The 17,056-nt window shown below is 54.8% G+C and overlaps 2 protein-coding genes and 1 non-coding gene across 6 annotated transcripts, besides 9 other annotated features; all 3 read right to left on the bottom strand.

Annotated features, from left to right (window-relative positions):
• Window positions 836–1,355: an enhancer, noted in NCBI's record as "H3K4me1 hESC enhancer chr7:151125597-151126116 (GRCh37/hg19 assembly coordinates)". NCBI's record gives its function as "activates a minimal SCP1, AML or CMV promoter by ChIP-STARR-seq in primed H9 embryonic stem cells {active_cell/tissue: H9 hESC(primed)}" and the evidence as "EXISTENCE:reporter gene assay evidence [ECO:0000049][PMID:30033119]".
• On the bottom strand, window positions 1,157–13,138 carry CRYGN (crystallin gamma N). 4 transcript variants are annotated; one of them, NR_131779.1, is made up of 4 exons: window positions 12,670–13,138; window positions 10,164–10,569; window positions 8,505–8,650; window positions 1,157–2,505 (listed from the first exon to the last, which is right to left on the bottom strand). NR_131779.1 is itself a non-coding variant. In NM_144727.3 (4 exons), exons 1-4 carry the CDS (start codon window positions 12,240–12,242, stop codon window positions 2,373–2,375), a joined length of 549 nt encoding a protein of 182 aa, NP_653328.1. In that variant the 5' UTR covers window positions 12,243–12,466; the 3' UTR covers window positions 1,157–2,372. The 4 variants fall into 4 exon arrangements, 3 of the variants coding, with proteins under 3 accessions (NP_653328.1, NP_001295221.1, XP_016867262.1); NM_144727.3 differs by lacking the exon at window positions 12,670–13,138 and adding an exon at window positions 12,222–12,466 and having other exon boundaries at window positions 10,321–10,569; NM_001308292.1 differs by lacking the exons at window positions 8,505–8,650; window positions 12,670–13,138 and adding an exon at window positions 12,222–12,495.
• Window positions 2,133–2,202: an enhancer, noted in NCBI's record as "active region_26860". NCBI's record gives its function as "activates an Ori minimal core promoter by ATAC-STARR-seq in GM12878 lymphoblastoid cells {active_cell/tissue: GM12878}" and the evidence as "EXISTENCE:reporter gene assay evidence [ECO:0000049][PMID:35858748]".
• Window positions 2,523–2,722: an enhancer, noted in NCBI's record as "active region_26861". NCBI's record gives its function as "activates an Ori minimal core promoter by ATAC-STARR-seq in GM12878 lymphoblastoid cells {active_cell/tissue: GM12878}" and the evidence as "EXISTENCE:reporter gene assay evidence [ECO:0000049][PMID:35858748]".
• LOC124901780 (uncharacterized) lies at window positions 4,617–8,486 on the bottom strand. The gene has a single exon (XM_047421163.1). It carries the CDS (start codon window positions 5,780–5,782, stop codon window positions 4,877–4,879), a length of 906 nt encoding a protein of 301 aa, XP_047277119.1. The 5' UTR covers window positions 5,783–8,486; the 3' UTR covers window positions 4,617–4,876.
• Window positions 5,144–5,243: an enhancer, noted in NCBI's record as "active region_26862". NCBI's record gives its function as "activates an Ori minimal core promoter by ATAC-STARR-seq in GM12878 lymphoblastoid cells {active_cell/tissue: GM12878}" and the evidence as "EXISTENCE:reporter gene assay evidence [ECO:0000049][PMID:35858748]".
• Window positions 5,514–5,603: an enhancer, noted in NCBI's record as "active region_26863". NCBI's record gives its function as "activates an Ori minimal core promoter by ATAC-STARR-seq in GM12878 lymphoblastoid cells {active_cell/tissue: GM12878}" and the evidence as "EXISTENCE:reporter gene assay evidence [ECO:0000049][PMID:35858748]".
• Window positions 5,814–5,964, bottom strand: MIR3907 (microRNA 3907). Its single transcript, NR_037468.1, has one exon. It is a non-coding gene; the product is annotated as a microRNA 3907 (primary transcript).
• Window positions 10,034–10,883: an enhancer, noted in NCBI's record as "H3K4me1 hESC enhancer chr7:151134795-151135644 (GRCh37/hg19 assembly coordinates)". NCBI's record gives its function as "activates a minimal SCP1, AML or CMV promoter by ChIP-STARR-seq in primed H9 embryonic stem cells {active_cell/tissue: H9 hESC(primed)}" and the evidence as "EXISTENCE:reporter gene assay evidence [ECO:0000049][PMID:30033119]".
• Window positions 11,245–11,745: an enhancer, noted in NCBI's record as "H3K4me1 hESC enhancer chr7:151136006-151136506 (GRCh37/hg19 assembly coordinates)". NCBI's record gives its function as "activates a minimal SCP1, AML or CMV promoter by ChIP-STARR-seq in naive H9 embryonic stem cells {active_cell/tissue: H9 hESC(naive)}" and the evidence as "EXISTENCE:reporter gene assay evidence [ECO:0000049][PMID:30033119]".
• Window positions 11,746–12,246: an enhancer, noted in NCBI's record as "H3K4me1 hESC enhancer chr7:151136507-151137007 (GRCh37/hg19 assembly coordinates)". NCBI's record gives its function as "activates a minimal SCP1, AML or CMV promoter by ChIP-STARR-seq in naive H9 embryonic stem cells {active_cell/tissue: H9 hESC(naive)}" and the evidence as "EXISTENCE:reporter gene assay evidence [ECO:0000049][PMID:30033119]".
• Window positions 12,958–13,494: an enhancer, noted in NCBI's record as "H3K27ac-H3K4me1 hESC enhancer chr7:151137719-151138255 (GRCh37/hg19 assembly coordinates)". NCBI's record gives its function as "activates a minimal SCP1, AML or CMV promoter by ChIP-STARR-seq in primed H9 embryonic stem cells {active_cell/tissue: H9 hESC(primed)}" and the evidence as "EXISTENCE:reporter gene assay evidence [ECO:0000049][PMID:30033119]".

Consider the following 17,056-nt stretch of genomic DNA (forward strand, 5'->3'; position numbering starts at 1 on the left):
CCTGTTCACACAAATGCTCGCTGTTCAGGGCAGGCTGCCCAAGTCACCCCTTCCTGGTGTCCCCAGACCTGGGCTACTAAGTCCTGGGGGTCCGGAAGGCAGGGTTAGTCCCAGGTAACCACAGGGACGCTCCAGGGATCCCTGCTGAAGGACAAGGACCTTCTCCTCCTCCTCCTCTTCCTCCTCCTGCATCTCAGCCTCCCCAGCAGCCACAGCCAAGAGCCCTGCCAAGCCGATGGGACCCACGCAATCAATAAGCAGGTGATAGCTTCTTCAGGTAGGGAATGTGGGGCATGGTCGCACAGGAGACCCACAGGGTTCCCTGGGATCCAGCGAGGGCCTTCATTCCCACATTGCCCCCAACAGTCCTGAGCACCTCAGCAACAAGGAGTTAATTTTTTTTGATTATGGCAAAATACACATACAATTTATCATCCTAACCATTTGAAGTGTGTGGTTGAGTGGCATTAAGTACACACACATAGTCGTGCGGCCGTCAGCACCATCTGTCTGTCTCCAGAAGTCTGTCATCTTCACAAACTGAAACTCTGGAGCTAAACCTTTAAAACTGTCTCATTTGACAAGTTTTTTGTTAGTTTGTCTTTTTCTTTCTTCTTTTTTTTTTTTTTTTTTTGACGTCCCTGGGCTCAAACTCATCCAACAGGCTTTGATTGAAGATCTGTTGTGGCTTCCTGGGGGGAACACAGGCAGGACAGCCCTGCTCTTAAGGCACCCAGTGGGGTGAAGAGGTGAGCCAAGAAGCCTCCAGCCAAGAAGGCGGTAGCCTGCCAGGCGCAGGCCACCTCGGGGCATGGGAGGGAGGCCCAGGAAGGGGAAGGGGCCAACAGAGACTTCTTGGACCAGCCCTTGGCTGGTGAGAGGAACTTCTTGGTGCGGGGGATGGGGTGGCTGGGGGGATTCAAAGGGAATGTTTTTCCTGTGGTCAGACTGGGCCTGATAAACAGTGCACGGGGGGCCAGCAGGGCAGGGGGACCTAGGGCTGAGGACATGAGGGGATGGCTCTGTGAAAGTCCCAGCTTTCCAAACCACAGAGGGAGGTAGAAATATGTGAAGCATGTGTGGCTCTTGAGGGCCTCTCACCCTCGGTCCATCGACCCCTGGACGGACTTCAGATAAATTACAAGCTGCCCACAAGCACTTTGGTGGGAATCTTGTTTTTCCTCTTTCAGACAAAAAGCAGATTTGCTGACAGATTAGGGAGCAGGGGGCTGGGGTGAGGGGGAGGTCACCCAGGAGCACAAAGCCCATTCGAGAAGCATTAAATCACCAGTTAATGAGATGCTGCTAAGCCTTGGTGCTGGGGAGGAGAGGAAGAGTTCAGGGGAAGCCTCTGGAACTCATGGGAAGGGCTGCTAGGCCTGGTTTTTCCCGTGACTCCCAAGGACCTGGACTGAACCGGTGGGGCCTGCAGTTCTCATTTCATTCCCCAGGCATTAATTGCCTATGAGGGGGCGGAATGATTACCACTGCTGTACGTCTGAAGACACTGAGACACACAGCAGTGGCTTCTCCAATGTCACATCCTAGTGAGGGATGGAGTGGGAATCAGGTTGGAGTTTGGAGCCAAGTTACCTTCTCTCCTGTGATGCCACTCCCCTGCCTGCTTCCCCACCCCGTCACCTACTGGGTCACCTACTACTAACCAGCCCTCATATGGCACCCGCTCATGGGTCACGCCTTTGGCTTTTACAAGGGTATACAGTTGGTACAGCAGACATGATTGCACTCATTTCACAGAACAGGGTCTGAGGCCTGGAGAGGCTTTGGGTTTGCGCCAAATTCATGACAAAAATATATCTAAATATGCAAATGTGTGGTGCTCTATAGAGGAGTGGTTAGGAACGAAAAGGATCAATCAGCCAGCCAGACCTGGGTTTTAGTCCTGACTGCTGTGTGACCCTGGGCAAGTTGCTTAACCTGTCTGTGGCTGGCTCTCCTCAACTGTACAGTGGTGATAAGCATATCATCTTGGCATTATTGTATATGATAAGTAAAATTACACAGATTCCAGCTACTACAGAGCCTGGCATTAAGTCAGTGCTCCATAAATATTCATCAACATCATCACCATCATCAGCTGTGGGCTGAGGTGCGAGATTGTGGAGGCCTGAGGCCAGCAGGGTGCCAAGGCCCAAGGAGGCTGTGGGGTGGAGGGTTGGACGGCTGTTTCAGAAGAGACAGGGCCCTTGCCATGGGTGGGGAGGGCCTCCCGCTGGCAGATATGACACACAGAAGGCTCCACCTCCCTAACAAACTGGCAGAGAAATGAAAACTGAGGGCATGATTTTAAGTAAACACTCTCCCGGCTCAGAAACGGTGCAGGTGCATTTACATGTCAATCGGTTCCAGGCTCAGAGGTTTGCAGTCAGGAAAGGTGGCTGGGTTGTTGCTGGTTTTGTGGTGGCCTCTTCCGGTCCTTGATCTGATTGAAGAGAGCTGCTCAGCTGGAAGTCCTCAGCTCCGAAGCTTCTAGGGCTCCATGCTCTGTGGTTTGCAGGTGAAAGGAGGTGGGGCCAGGGCATTAGGGGTACAGAGCAGGCCTTTTGGGGACCCATCTACCACATGGCAGCAGGGAGCCCCTTCCCCTTTCCTGGGCGGAGTGGACGGTTGCCTAGTGGTTTCATGTCTTCATTTGGCCTCGGCTGTCATGGGACAGCCTACGGGGGTCCCACAGCAGTCATGGGGCCCCTCCGTCTTTGCCACCCAGCTCTTGGTGGGGAATTGTCTTGGGTGAATTGGGTGACCCATCGTGACTCTTTTTCCATTGCTCTCTCAGTGAGGGATGGGGAGAGGTTGGAGGACACCCAGGAACGGGACAGCCATCCCCTGGCCCACCACACTCAGGCCACCACACTGTGCGACAGAATCAGCCCCTGAGATTTTGTTTTTCTCTCGGGAACCCTGTGTTCCCTCGCTGAGCTCCCTGCCGTACTCCATCACCCCCTAGGCCTGTCGGGGTGTCTCAGTTCAACTCAGATAGTAACCCAGGGCTCATGGGCTTTCCCTCGGAGTCCTGAGCTGGGCGACCAGCCTAGAGGGGCTGATCCCCAGTCCAAACCCCTCCATCTACTCAGAAAACTGGAGTAAGATGTATGGTGAGGAGGACCCGGGAACTGAGAGGCCAGTCGGGAGCCAGTTGGTTGGGGGGACTCTGGGATCGCAGTCGGGGATTAGAGGCTGGACCAGGAGTCAGATCCACAGCCAGAACTCTGTGGGCACACGGGTGATCCAACCCATGCACCTGGCCCCCCACTGATCCCTCATCCAGCCAGGCCTTGGTCCAGGCACAGGCCATGTGGACATCTTTGGGGTCTCCATGTCCAGGAGCCCCCATGCTCAGGAATCTCGGGTCCAGGGCCCCTGTGTTCTCCTCAGAAGCCCAGAGCACTCCATCTGTTGCCTCCTTCTGGGGTGGGCTATGGTTTCCTCACAGGCAGGCTCCATTCAGGACTCTGCTGGAGGGCTGCCGGCAGCAGGGAGTTACCTGGGCCACCCCCAGGGACCAGAGTTCCCCTCGTGGGACCTTTCCTCTCTCCCCAGTGAGTTGGAAGCATAGGCGTGGGTGGGGAGGGAGTGGGGGGATGCTTTTGGGGACGTGGACCTCTTATGCCCAGGAATCCCACTGCCTGGGCCGAGTATCTCCTTCCAGGACAGACTTCTCCCTCCCCTCTGCCCCTCAAGGGTGGGGTGTCCCCTCTAGATTCAAGCCCACCCCAACAGGAGGACCCAGTGTCCTGGAGAGGGCCCAGGAATGGAGGAATTCTACAGGCGAGCGCTTGGTGCTGCACCAGCTGAAGACGCGAGCCGCCGGTTCTGGGTCTGCCAGCCCTACTGCTCCAGGGGCTATGGCTGCAGCAGACACGCCCCATGCCCCTTTCTCCCCGAAAGCCCCTCCATTCCCACAGAGCCCACCTGTTCAAGCTAAGCCCCCACCCTGACACTCACCACCACTAACTGTTTTCTCTCTCGCAGGAGAGGGGTCTGCCCTGGGTCGAAACCATCCTTCCAGAGGGGTCTCCCTTAGAAACTCCGAGGCCAAGATTAGCCATGAGGATAAAACCCAGAGATCAGACACAGAGACCCTGGGTCAGGCCTTTGGCCACATGGCCTGGCAGCCTCACCTTGCCGAGTCACAGAGAGGCAGAGCCCCAAGCGAGCCTGGGGAGTCCTGAACCGGCCTGGGTTCCGGCCCTGCCCCATCCCCATTGCTTCTCACCACCTCTCCCCACCACTCTCCCCTCCCTGGCCCAGGGGGTCCCTGGGAGTCCGGGAAAGCGCCCTGGATCATCCAGCTCCTCCCAGGGCTGGGATGCCCACTGCCGAGAGAGCACTCAGAAGCCGCCCGTTGGCTTTGAGGACTTTTATCGCCCAAGGTCCCGAGGTCTGGGTGGGACCGCAAGGGGTTGCCCCTGTCCCCAGAGCTGCGCCCGGCCATCCCGGTGGGAGGGCTCGGCTGGAAGAAGTTGACCACCTTGTGGAGCGACTGCACTCGTGCGCTGTGGGCCTCCCAGTCCGAGAAGCTGCGGAAGTCGCCACTCTCCACCACGTACATGCGGCCGTGGTAGTTGGGCTCCTCATACAGGACCCACCTGGAGGCCAGGGGAGTGGGGATCAGGGGCTGCCAGGAAGTCCCCCGGGACTCCGGAGAGAAAAGCCTGCACAGCCTGGCCACCCAGCAACCCCTCCCGGTCGAGCGGCCCCTTCACTCTGGGCTACACGAAGGCACCCACGGTGCCTTCCCCAGTGCCCTGTGGGGTCCATGCTGGGGTGTGACATGTGTGGGGACAGGCCCAGTAATGTCCACATTTTAAAACTGACCAGTCCTGGCCGGGCATGGGGGCTCACGCCTGTAATCTCAGAATTTTGGGAGGCCGAGGCAGGCAGATCTCTTGTAGTCAGGAGTTTGAGAGCAGCCCGGCCAACGTGGTGAAACCCCGTCTCTACTAAAAATACAAAAATTAGCTGGGTGTGGTGGTGGGCACCTGTAATCCCAGCTACTTGGGAGACTGAGGCAAGATAATTGCTTGAACCAGGGAGGCGGAGGTTGCAGTGAGCCGAGATTGCGCCACTGCATTTCAGCCATCCTTGGCAAGGATGCACTCCCGCCATCACTGCACGCCCCACACACTCCTGTTCCCTGATAAGGACCACCTTGCACAGACAGTACCCCCAGCACCTGGTGGGGGGCCTGGCACAGAGGGCACCGTTCATTCAGTGAATGCCAGCAGGTTCCCACATGTGTGCCCAACACTGTGTCAGGTACCAGAGGTGCCATGGTCACACAACACGGTTCCTGCCCCCTCCTGCCCTCACGGGGCCTCCCCTGCAGAGGAAATGGGCTGTGGGGGTGCAGTTGCATGGAGGAGCCTGCAGGGCACAGAGGAGGGTTGGGGAGTCCCAAGCAGGGCCCCTTCCTGTCCTCCTCCCCTTCTGCACACCACTGGGGCAGCCACCAACAACCCAGAGAGCAGAAACAGTCAGGACAAGTCTTTACAGAGCCTGGAGGACCTCGGGCTGGTGGGGGCAGGAGAGAACACAGCTCTTCATCACCCAGGAAGCTGTGGGCCCGGCCCAGAAAAGCAGGAAGGTGCGGTGGGGAGGGAACGGGGGACCAGGAGGAAGGGACTGGAGGTCCAGGATAGTGGCCTTTGCCTGGAAAGGGGCATGTGGTCCAAGGAAGACACCTCAGGACAGCTCGGAGCAGGGGCTGGCCCAACCCTGTCCTTCCCTCACCATCTCTGAGACGAGTGAGGCTTGTCATGCCTGGTGCCTGGCACAGTCTGCTGCCTCAAGGGTTGGGGCCAGGAAGGAAGAGAGAGAGGCAGAGGGTGTGAGCCAGCCTGGAGCACCTGCTGGGGGACTCAGGGCAGGCCTGGTCCAGCCTGGACCCCACCCTCATGGCCCCCGTATCCATGCCCCTCCACACCTACAGCTTTCCAACCCCACACCTGTGCCACAGCTGGGGCCTCAGAGGCACCTCAGAGAGTCAGCTGGTCCTTTCCTACCCTGTGGTGGGCAAGAAATGCCCCAAGCCATGTCCTGGGCCACATGAGGGTTCTCACATGGACACCCCCAAAAGGAGGGGGCGGGGAACCACCCATCCTGCTGTCCCCTGTCCTGGCTGTGGCTACTGGGAGGAGGCAGACAGAGGAAAGGGCAGGGGCCTGTCCTGCCCACATCAGCACCGTGCCCTTCCCCAGGTGAGGGTAGGTGGAGGCAGAACGCCAGTGCATTTCCCTCCGAGAGCCCACCAGGACACGGGTCTGAGGGGATGGGTCATGCCTGGGCTGATGTGGGACCCAGAGGGAAGGAGTCTTGGCAGTGGGAGGTGGTGGAGGGACCCTGCCTTGCCCACTCCCCCGACCCCAGGAAAGGCCTCCTAGCAGTGTCCCCTCCGGATCGAGGGGACCTGGGGGCGTTACCTCCTTGACAAGGGCTTACATTTGTGTAAGAGTAAGAGTCTTAGGCGGCAAAGGCTGAGCTCCTGGGTCCCCCACCTGGGGTCCCGATGGCTGGCTCCTCTCAGGGACAGTGGGGATTGTGTGCCCCTCAGTCAGAGAAATGTTAGCCTCCACCTTCCCCACCTTCGTTCTCAACAAGCCCCTGAGCGTTGGGGGTGGGCCGGGGGGATTGTGTCTAGGGCCTCAGGACATCCTCCACGCAAAGGCATGACTTGGGCCTTACAAGACACAATTTAGCCAGCAAGTTTTCCAGGGCAAATTCTTGTTTTGGAATGCCACCCCTGGGCTCCAGGTGCCACCAATTTAGGGCAAAATGCAATTTCGTAAAACGGAATCCTGGAGCCAGCTAGAGTGACAGAAACAGCAGGAAGGGGGCCAACATCAGGCCACCGGGGAAAGGTGGGATGTACACAGTCCCTCCCTATCCCTGGGAACTGGTTCCAGGACCTCCCTTGGATATCAAAATCCGAGGATGCTCAAGTTCCTGATATAAAATGGCACTGTATTTGCATATAACCCATGTGTATCCTCCCATATATAGTAAGTCCTCACTTAACACCGTCAGTAAGTTCTTGGGAACCGTGGCTTTAAGCACATGATATATAACAAAGCCATTTCTCCCCTCATCAATTTTATAATGAATCCACATTGAACAAGATGACATATTTGAGGACCTGCCATACATTGTTTCACTTAAAGTCACAGTTTCCAAGAACCTATCCACAATGTTAAGTGAGGACTTACTGGACTCGAAATCATCTCCAGATTACTTATGATACCTAATCCAACATAAACGCTATGTAAATAGTTGTACAGTATCTTTCAGGGAATAATGTACATATTCAGCATAGACACAATTGTGGGGGGATATTTTCGCTGTGCGGTTGGAGCCCATGGACATGGGGTACCACCTGTGCCCAGCTCTGCCTCGGCCCAGTCTCTGTCTCCCTGCAGTCCCTCTGCCCCCTGCATCCCCTCCGAAGCTCCCTGGCCTTGAACCTCTGTAGTATAGACGGCAAATTGTTCCTCAATTGCTTCGATAGGCGCCAGAACCATGCACAGCCAGCTGGAACCTGTGTGAGGGGCTCTTGGCCTGAGGGGAGGGGACTGAGGCCTGGGAAAGCGGCTAGCTCTGGAACAGGGACAGACACAGGCTTGGCTGCAGTCTCAGCTGTGCCACTCCCACGGGGCGGCCGGGCAGTCAGCCTTCTGAGTCTCAGCTTGCCCTTTGTAGAACGGGGGCGATAATATCTACCTGACCTAGAGGTGTGGGCTGGACAATGAAAATACATGGCCAACTTGAAGGTGCTCAGAGGATAGTTGCAAAAGGGGAGTGTGCGGGAGGGCAGGAGGGGGCACACAGGCTGCCCTTGGTTGACCAGGAGGAAACCCAAGTGTGGGGCAGACAAACCCATCTGGGCCTGGGCAAAATTCCCCCAGCTACTTTCTGTCCAGGAGTGAGCCACCCCGAAGTCCATCTCCTCCCAGAGGCCAGGGTGGTGGGGGTTTGCAGAGAGGCCCGGTTCAGGGGTCAGCTCTGCGGGGTAGGCGCGGGGGCAGGGTGGGCTGGTCCACCCTTCTCAGAGCAAGTGAGCCCACTGTGGCTTTTCCAGCCCATAAGGCCCTGGAGGACCCCTTGGTAAGCAGGTGTCCCCCGGTTCAAGAAAACCAAAGGCGGCCCCTTGTATCAGATCAATCGCAGAGAACCGTGCAACTTTCAAGGTACTCTCCTACCTCTGCTCCTGGACTGAGGCCCTAGAGGGAAGGTCTCAGGGTGCCTCTGGGGCCCAGAGTCCCTCTCTGAGGCCCTTCTGGGCCACAGGGGAAGCTCCCCGCTGCTTGACTGGGGCAGGTGAGGCAGCTGAGGAAAGGAGAGGGCCTGTGGGGCCAGGGACACGCTGCCCACTGCTGGAGGTCTCATTCCCACCCCACCCACCACCCCTGTGTGGCGGGCAGCCTCCCACGCCTGGTGCTGAAGGGCCTAGCCGGGCCTCGGGGTGCGGCCACGTGGCCTGTACTCACGCTCCGTCCCCGTACACCTTGATGGTGTTCACACAGTTCTTGACCCAGCCCCTGCTCTGGAGGAAGGGGCTGTCCTCCAGGAACTCCAGGCACTGGCCCGTGAAGTTGCAACCCTCGAAGATTTCTAGGCGGAAATGTTCTCCGTGCTCCAAGACCAAGCAAAAAAGAAGGAAAGAAGGAGGTTGCTGTGAATTCCCCTCTCCCAGAAACAGAAGCCCCATGCAGGAAGGAATTAGGAGGTACCCAAGGCACTGGGCACCCCCACCCCACACACTTCAACCCCACACTTCTGTTTGTTCTTCCACATGAGATGTGGTTGGAAGAAAGGGTTCTATTACTCTGAAAATGTTCCAAGCCACTGAGCTGGTCCAAGCTCCTCTTTCTACAACTAGAAAATCTGAGGTCCAAAGAGGGCCAAACTGACCAGAGGCCAGCGGTCACACTCAGACCAGGGCTGGGGTCACGGGGCTCCCTCTGGGTGCTCAGCGTGGGGGACTCCGGCCCTGATCACAGCCACACACTCCGGGTTCTGACTTCCCCACCCCTGGGCCACAGCCCATGGGCAAGCCTTCAAATGATAACATTTTAAAACTGTAATAGAACCTTTTAGTAAAACATAAAGCCAAAAATCTAAAACAAATACCAGATCTCATGTGCTGAAACCCCTGCTGGCCTTGACATCATTGTCCCCTAGGCTCAGCACATCTCCCTATATGATTCCCGCATTTCCAAAAGACAGAGGAGGGCCAGCCCCTGCCTGGCTCAGAAGCCGGCAGGGCCTGGTCTGCGTCACAGCTGGCCCCAGGCTAGCTCTTAGGAGAACAGCAGTTCGCAAGATACCAAGGATGTTTTTCATATAAATAGCATTATGCAGGGTCCAGGGCCAACCATTTAAATTTCTTTTTTCCAAATGGACCACAGCCTGGAAGAAATACTAAGGAAGCATTCTTACAATTTGAGATGCCAAAGCCCAGCTGGTTTTGCAACTGATACAGAAAAGAGAGGGGGCACCACACAAAGGCCCCTTTACTGGGGTTCCTCAGATGTTCACCAGAACCACCCAGCCCAGGCGTCGGGGGAGGGTCCTCAGCAGACATAAGCGAGACGCTCTGTGATGAGAGATGCACGCCCCCAGGCTCAGGAGTCCGCCACTCCCCACCTGAAGCTCCAGAGCTCACAGCAGGTCAGTGAGTACCCATGACCTGGGGGAACGGCCTTGCTTAAATCCCACCCTAGGAGCAGCTGGACCGAAACAGTCTTTCGCCACCGGGGAGCCATGCCCCTCGTCTGCCCTCCCTGCACACACCTCTTGGGCGGCAGCTACCTGTGTAATTCCAAGGGACCTGCCCCCCAATTTTCCCCTGACAGGCGGGTGATTCTTCAGCTTCCTCCATCAGCCATTCCAAGACATGGAAGGCTCCAGAATGTGCCACAAGACCACCTGTACTAGTGGCCACACTAGGCCCAAATCAGCCTCCCATTGGCGGAGTGTCCCCTATCTGGCTGGAAATCTAAATTTGGATGATTTCAACAGCATTTTAAATGGAAAATGCAGCTAGATTTTTGGCTCCGAAACTTAAAGTGGTTTATTGATACCTGTATGAAAACTCAGGGCCACTCCCACTCAGTTCATAGCAACTTGGCCCCCCACCTACTCACCTCATGCCAGCAGGTGGCTCTGGGTATAGCTCCTTCAGTCTTACAGACTTTAAAGCCGGGAGGACCACGCTCCCCGATTCCTTGCCACTGTCTGCCAGGGCTGACCCTCGGTCCCTCCAGCAGGAAGACTCAGCCTTCGGTGGACGGGCCCACTCACCATTCCTACAGGCCGACAGGAGCCCATGTGGTCACTGTGGCTGTTCCAGCGGAAGAAGTCGGGGTAGTCGCCGTGCTCCAAGATGAACTGCTGGCCCCGGAAGTCGGGGTGATTGAAGCAGACCCAGGCTCCGCTCTCCACGTGGATGGAGTTCACTCGGTTCATAAAGCCCCGGTCCTGGAAGTTGTCACAGTCCCCGAAGACCTCCAGCTTCTGCCCTGTGAAGTGCTTGCCTTCATAGAGAGTGATCTAGAAAGGGCAGGTTACAGAGCTCAGGGTCAGGGGCTTCTCTCCGTCAGCGTTGGAGGCTGGCGTCTGGGTCCCAACACCCTGGATGGAACCCCTACTCCCAGGCCCCCAAAAGCCCAGACCTGCTGCACACAGTAGGTGCCCAACACTATTTGCCAATTGGGCAAAAGAACGAACAGCTGGCAGGCTGATGCCATACACAGCTACTGTTCCTCCCCACCCTTAGGAGCTCACAGTGGGGCAGACAAATTTCAGCAGCGATTTGGGGACAGGGGTTTCCCCTTTGTCTAGGTGCCCATTTCAAAATGGGCTGTTTTCAACTTCCACTGCATTTTTAACTCATTTTTTAATTATTAAAACATAAAGCCGATAATAACATTAAAGGAGGTGTTTTCAAAAGAAGAAATTTCACCCACAACCCTCTCATGGTAACCCAGCATATATTTTGCAGAAATTCGGGTTCCTGGGATTGGGCCTCCTTCACTGGAGAGGCTGAATGGGCCGAAGCCGCGTCAGGGCCTGGCTCGGGATTAATGTTCGCAAAAGAGGGCTTATAAGTGCCACCCTGTCTCTCTGTGTTTTGTAGGTCACTCCTTTGGGTAGCAGGCATGTATCAGATCTGGAGCTCCATCACCCTGCTGGGAGTTCAGACATCGTGTCTTATAGCTACGTGGCACTCACAGGTTGTCCTTGTCCCGAAACAAAACAAAGTGAAGCAATAACAACCCGCCAGACTCATTTCCTGCTGTGGAACCTAAAATCTCAACCATTTAGTAACTCTTTGGGTTTCAAGAACTGTGGCCCTAGAAGGGTCCTGCCAGAGTGCAGTGATGTTCCCCATCACTATGGTCGCTTGTGCCTCACCAGTGTCTCCAGTTCGCTCAAAAGAACACGAGAATTGCCCTTCCAGGCCCCTTGGAGTCAGGCGTGGCCACATGCGTTCACCGGAAAGGAGGCAGACACCTTGGCGTTCTGCACCCCAGAGTTACTGGGGCCCTTTGTTACTGAAGCATCACCTGGCCCATGCAGACTGATACAGCAACACAGTCACCCCCAGACACTCTGGAATGTGGCCTTGGAGACCAAAGGCTTCATGGGAGTGGCTAGGCTAGGGGCACTGGAGAGGGCGAGGGAGAGCCAGGTCTCCCGTCCTTCCTGCACCAGGCACGGCTGGTAGAGGGCCCCTGAAACCTTCAGGGAGGTCTGGGCACCAAAGGGATTCGGGGCTCCCTCAAATCTCAACATTTTTCAGAGAACCAGCCCTAAGTGTCCCTGAAGAGACCCTGGGAAGGAAAAGCCATAGAGGCCAGCCTTGGGCAAAGAAGCCGCAGCAGTGGGGCGGAGGGCTGTGGGACAAGCCAAGCCTCCCCCACCCCAAGGAAGCCCCAGGGAGTCTGAACACCCTCCCTGCTCCTGACTGCAGGGCGAGGGGTTGGAATCCCAGAAGGAAGGAGTGGAGATGGAGACCTTCCTATCCATCCACACCAGAGAGGCCCCAGGCCAGTAGCGAGGCCACCCCATTTTATTAAGAAATTAAACCAGCTTCCCTTGGATTTGTCACCATCAACAGTGTGCACCCTCCTGCATCCCCTAGCACAGGGGGCGAAGGCGGAGCCCCACTCGGTTTCCTTGGGGTTGAGGGACGCACTCACCTTCCCCGAGCGCTGCGCCATGGTGCGCCCCGCCCCTTCCGCGGGTCCCCGTTTACACCGGGCAGCGCCCTGCTGGCTCAGCGCCGCCCCGGACAAAAGATTTGCTGGGCCGGCCCCGGAGCGTTAGTGCTGTCGGGCGTGCTAAGCCCGAGGGGCCACCAGGCGGTTGGGACCCGCCGCGGCCACCCTGTGCCACCGCGAGTGCAGCCCGCCCTGCCCGGGGTCTCCCTGTGCTCTCCGCGTTTAGCTCCCGAGCCTCCTTCCTCCCTGAGCCCTCCCGCCCAGCCCGCGGCTGCCCCTGCCCTGCCCTGGAGTGGTGGGGGGAGGAGGGGAGGTGTCTCTCTAGCCCTCCAACCTTTCTTCCCCTGCGCTGCCCCTCAGCCCTCACGCCCATCTCCCTCCCTCCCAAGGCCTGTTCCGAGCTCCCCAGCCCACTCCCCTTTCTCACCTGGCTGCAGGTAGTCTCGCCTTGGTGCCAACTTGTTTGTCTCCACGAGGATGCAACCCAAGCTTCCCCGGACAGACAGACAGCCCTTGACCGCCCCTCCCCTGGCTGCTCTGGTCTGAGCTCCCAGGTCCCCACCTTAGACCTCCGGCTCCAACTCACCCAGCTCCTGATGCACCCCCCCACACCCCACAAAACGCCAGGCCAGGTCAGGCCTCCCTCCTCCCGCTCTCTTCCTGCCTGCCTCCCTCCCTGGCACTCTCCCTCCCTGGGTCCCTCTCTCCTTGAAGATCCTGCCTAGGGTGACCAGGTGACCCGCGCTGCCCTGAGCTGGGGGTACAGTGCTCTGCCCCTTGCCTCTCTGCTGCACCAACTAAGCCACCCTGGACGCCCAGGATCAGTTTACAGCACAAAGCAGCCCCACCGCGGAGGGAGAGTTCCCCAGGGCCCAGAACGAGCACTTGGCAGACAGCAGAGGCTCAGAGATTGTGGAGTGAGCAGAGCGAACATGGAGCCCACAGGATGTGCAGCCCCCACACGGCTGGGGAGATGAGCTGGGAACACAGGACTCATGACTCAGATGGCTGGGGTGGTGGGGGACAGGCTCTGAGATCAAAGGAGAGAGGGGCAGGTGCTCCACAGGGGCTTCTGCTGGAGGGGAGGGAGGAGCTTTGGGGAGGAGTTTGGGCTGCTCTTCCTTCAAACAGTATATTTTTATGACCATTTCACAGATGAGACACTGAGGCCCAGGAAGAGGAGGTTATGTGATTCTTGGGGCAGAGGGGTGACCTTGCCTCTGCTGTGGGAGGTTTTCAAAAGTAGACAGGGTACAAACCAGAACCTGCATGTCACCCTTGAACCCAGGGACGGTCCTCCCTAGGGACGCCCCTCCCTAGGGACGCCGCCCAGCTGCCTCCACTGGCGCCCTTACTTGCCAAGCCACACATTCCAATGTTTCTCTCTGGACCTGGGCCCTGGTGGGGACATAAAATTAAAAACAAAATCTCCAGCCAACCCAGAAAACTTCTCCACGAAGGTAGAAGGAAAAAAAAACAATTTTATTATTGAATAAACTTTAAACTGGAATGCGATCTGCATCACGATCTCTCCCCTAAGAGATCGCAAAGATGGAGAGAGATCTCACTCTTCTGTAGCCAAGCAGACACAACCCACTGCATTCATGTTTTCAGGATAAAATTGCTGATTTTCTTGTATCTCTATGACTGGAGGTGGGTTTTGCAATTTGGAGTCAGGTGACAGCTGAAGTCAGGCTTCTTAGGAAACGGGGAGGGTGGGGGCACTTACTCCTTGATGTCAAGACTCAAAGAGGCTCCCAGAGGAAACATGACTGAGTTGTTAGACTGGCAAGAGGCTTGTTTAGCCATTAAAAAGATTTACACACATTTGAAAATGACAGAGAAGGAAATTCTGCAAGAAAAGGGAGGAAAGGGAAGCCTCTTCCCTTATTTTCAACAGGGAAAAATAAGCCTTAAAAAAAGGTTTTATTTTTTAGAGCAGCTTTAGGTTCAAGTTGAATTCAGCAAAAGGTACAGCAATTTCCTGTATACCCCCTGCCCCTACACACACACACACACACACACACACACACACACACACACACACAGAGCCTCCTCCACAATCAGCGCCCCCATTAGAGTGGTACATTTGTCACAGCCGATGAACCTATGTTATACATCGGGATACAGGATGAGAAGTTGAGAGAATGCGGCGTAGACTTTGTTAAAATAACACATTTTTAAAGCCTCCCCACATAATGTGGTTGATTTTTCACAGCTTGCTACTCTTTGTCCAGTTGAGTATGTAAGTGTTTGACTCTTAACTTTTTCTTTGGGTCTTCATCTCCTTATAAGGGCTCCCATGCCACATAAAACTTGTATTAAATAAGTTTGTATGCTTTTCTCTTGTTAATCTGTCTTAGGTCAATTTATTTCTCAGGCCCAGCCAGGACCCTAAGAGGATGGAGGTAGAACTTTGCTGCCTCTACAGTGTAATGCCATGGTTCCACCATTAGAGCACCAGGTAGAGTATTCTCACCACCTTAAAAGTCCCCTGTGTGGGCTGGGCACGGCGGCTCACACCTGTAATCCCAGCACTTTGGGAGGCCGGGGCGGGTGGATCACCTAAGGTCAGGAGTTTGAGACCAGCCTGGCCAACAGGGCGAAACCCTGTCTCTACTAAAAATACAAAAACTAGCCAGGCGTGGTGGCAGGCGCCTGTAATCCTAGCTACTCAGGAGGCTGAGGCAGTGAGAATTGCTTGAACCTGGAAGGTGGAGGTTGTAGTGAGCCAAGATTGCGCCACTGCACTCCAGCCTGGACGACAGAGTTAAACTCCGTCTCAAAAAAAAAAAAAAAAAGATAAAAAAAAAAGTCCCCTGGGCTCCATCTGTTTATCCCTCTCTCCCCCTTAACTCCTGGCAACCACTGATCTTTTTACTATCTTCACGGTTTTGCCTTTTTCAGGATGTCATGTATTTGGAATCTTACAGTATGTAGCTACTACGGTTTGAACGTGTCCCCCAAAACACATGTGTTGGAAACTTAATCCCCAATGCAACAATGTTGAAAGATGCGGTCTCATGGGAAGGGTTTAGGTCATGAGGGCTTCACCCTCATTCATGGATTAACGCTGACCATAAAGGGCTACAAGGTCAACCGCTTGCTCTCTCTCACCCTCTCTTTGCCCTTCTCCCATGGGATGATACAGCAAGAAGGCCCTTGAAAGATGCCAGCACCGTGATGTTAGACTTCTCAGCCTCCAGAACTGTGAGCCAGTACATTTGTGTTCATTGTAAATTACCCAGTCTGTGGTATTCTGTTATAGCGGCACAAAACGGACTAAGACAGCAAGTAGCTTTCTCAGATTGGTTTCTTCCACTTAGTAATATGCATTTAAGATTCCCTCATATCTTTTCCTGGCCTAGTCTCTCATTTCTTTTTACTGCTGAATCATGTTCCCTTGTCTGGAAGTACCACAGTTTAGTTATCTATTCATCAATGGAAGGACATTTTGGTTGTGTCCAAGTTTTGGCAATTATGAGGAAAGCTTCTATAAACAACCACGTGTAGATTTTTGTGTGCTCCTTTCACTATACACTAAGGAGTGGGATTGCTGGATCATATGTTACAGGTATGTTTAGTTGTGCAACAAACTGAAAAAAAAATAAAAGCCAGGTGCAGAGGCTTGTACCTGTAATCCCAGCTACTCAGGAGGCTAAGGCAGGAGGATTACTTGAGGCCGGGAGTTCAAGACCAGCTTGGACAACATAGCAAGACCCTGTCTCTAAAAAATTCAAAATCAAATCAAATAAAAAGAAACTGTCAAACTCTCTTTCAAAGTGGCTATATGATTTTTCATTCTGACCATTTGGTGCTATCAAGTTTTGGATTTTAGCCATTCAAATAAGTGTGCAGTGGTGTCTCATTGTTGTTTTAAGAGCTTTTTTTTTTTTTTTTTTTTGAGATGGAGTCTTGCTCTGTCCCCCAGGCAGGAGTGCAGTGATGCGATCTCAGCTCACTGCAATCTCTGCCTCCTAGGTTCAAGCAATTCTCCTGCCTCAGCCTCCCCAGTAGCTGGGACTACAGGTGTGTGCCACCACGCCCAGCTAATTTTTTTTTTTTTTTTTTTTTTTTTTTGGAGATGGAGTCTTGTTCTGTTGCCCAGGCTGGAGTGCAGTGGCGTGATCTCAACTCACTGCAACATCCACCTCCTGGGTTCAAGCGATTCTCCTGCTTCAGCCTCCCGAGTAGCTGGGACTACAGGCACACGCCGCCAAGCCTGGCTAGTTTTTTGTATTTTAGTAGAGATGGGGTTTCACCATGTTGCCCAGGCTGATATCAAACTCCTGAGCTCAGGCAATCCGCCTGCCTTGGCCTCCCAAAGTGCTAGGATTACAGGCGTGAGCCACCGCGCCTGGCCAATTTTTGTATTTTTAGTAGAGATGGGGCTTCACCACGTTGGCCAGGCTGGTCTTGAATGCCTGACCTCAAGTGATCCGCCTGCCTTGGCCTCCCAAAGTGCTGGGATTACAGGTGTGAGCCACTGTGCCCAGCTGAACTTCTTCTTTTTAATTTGTATTTGCCCTCATCACAGCAGGGCCAGAGCACACAGACAACCCAAAAAGGTGATGACAACAGAATCCAAAACAGAAGCAGTGATTTGGGGTGTTTTCTGAGAAATATATATGAAAAAATGCCTAGCTGAAAGCCCCACGCAAAGAATTATTAAAAATGGGTAGATGAATAAGATACCTGCAAATTTCACCTCCATTCCCTATTTCTAATGCAATATCTCAATTCCCACCTGGGATTTTATTATAATTCAGTTACCAGAGGAGGAGTCTGCTAAGATTCATATTATCTATTTGTGG

This window comes from Homo sapiens, chromosome 7 (assembly GCF_000001405.40).
Source record: "Homo sapiens chromosome 7, GRCh38.p14 Primary Assembly".
In the NCBI taxonomy this organism is placed as follows: Eukaryota; Metazoa; Chordata; class Mammalia; order Primates; family Hominidae; genus Homo; species Homo sapiens.

Excerpts from the sequence above, each read along its gene's own strand:
- LOC124901780 (XM_047421163.1), bottom strand. The coding sequence starts at position 5,782 with ATGACAAGCCTCACTCGTCTCAGAGATGGTGAGGGAAGGACAGGGTTG.
- CRYGN (NM_144727.3), bottom strand. The coding sequence starts at position 12,242 with ATGGCGCAGCGCTCGGGGAAG. Across the intron at positions 10,570-12,221 it reads TGGCGCAGCGCTCGGGGAAG|ATCACTCTCTATGAAGGCAA; the intron begins GTGAGTGCGTCC and ends TGCCCTTTCTAG. Across the intron at positions 2,506-8,504 it reads AAGGTGTACGGGGACGGAGC|AGCATGGAGCCCTAGAAGCT; the intron begins GTGAGTACAGGC and ends TGCAAACCACAG.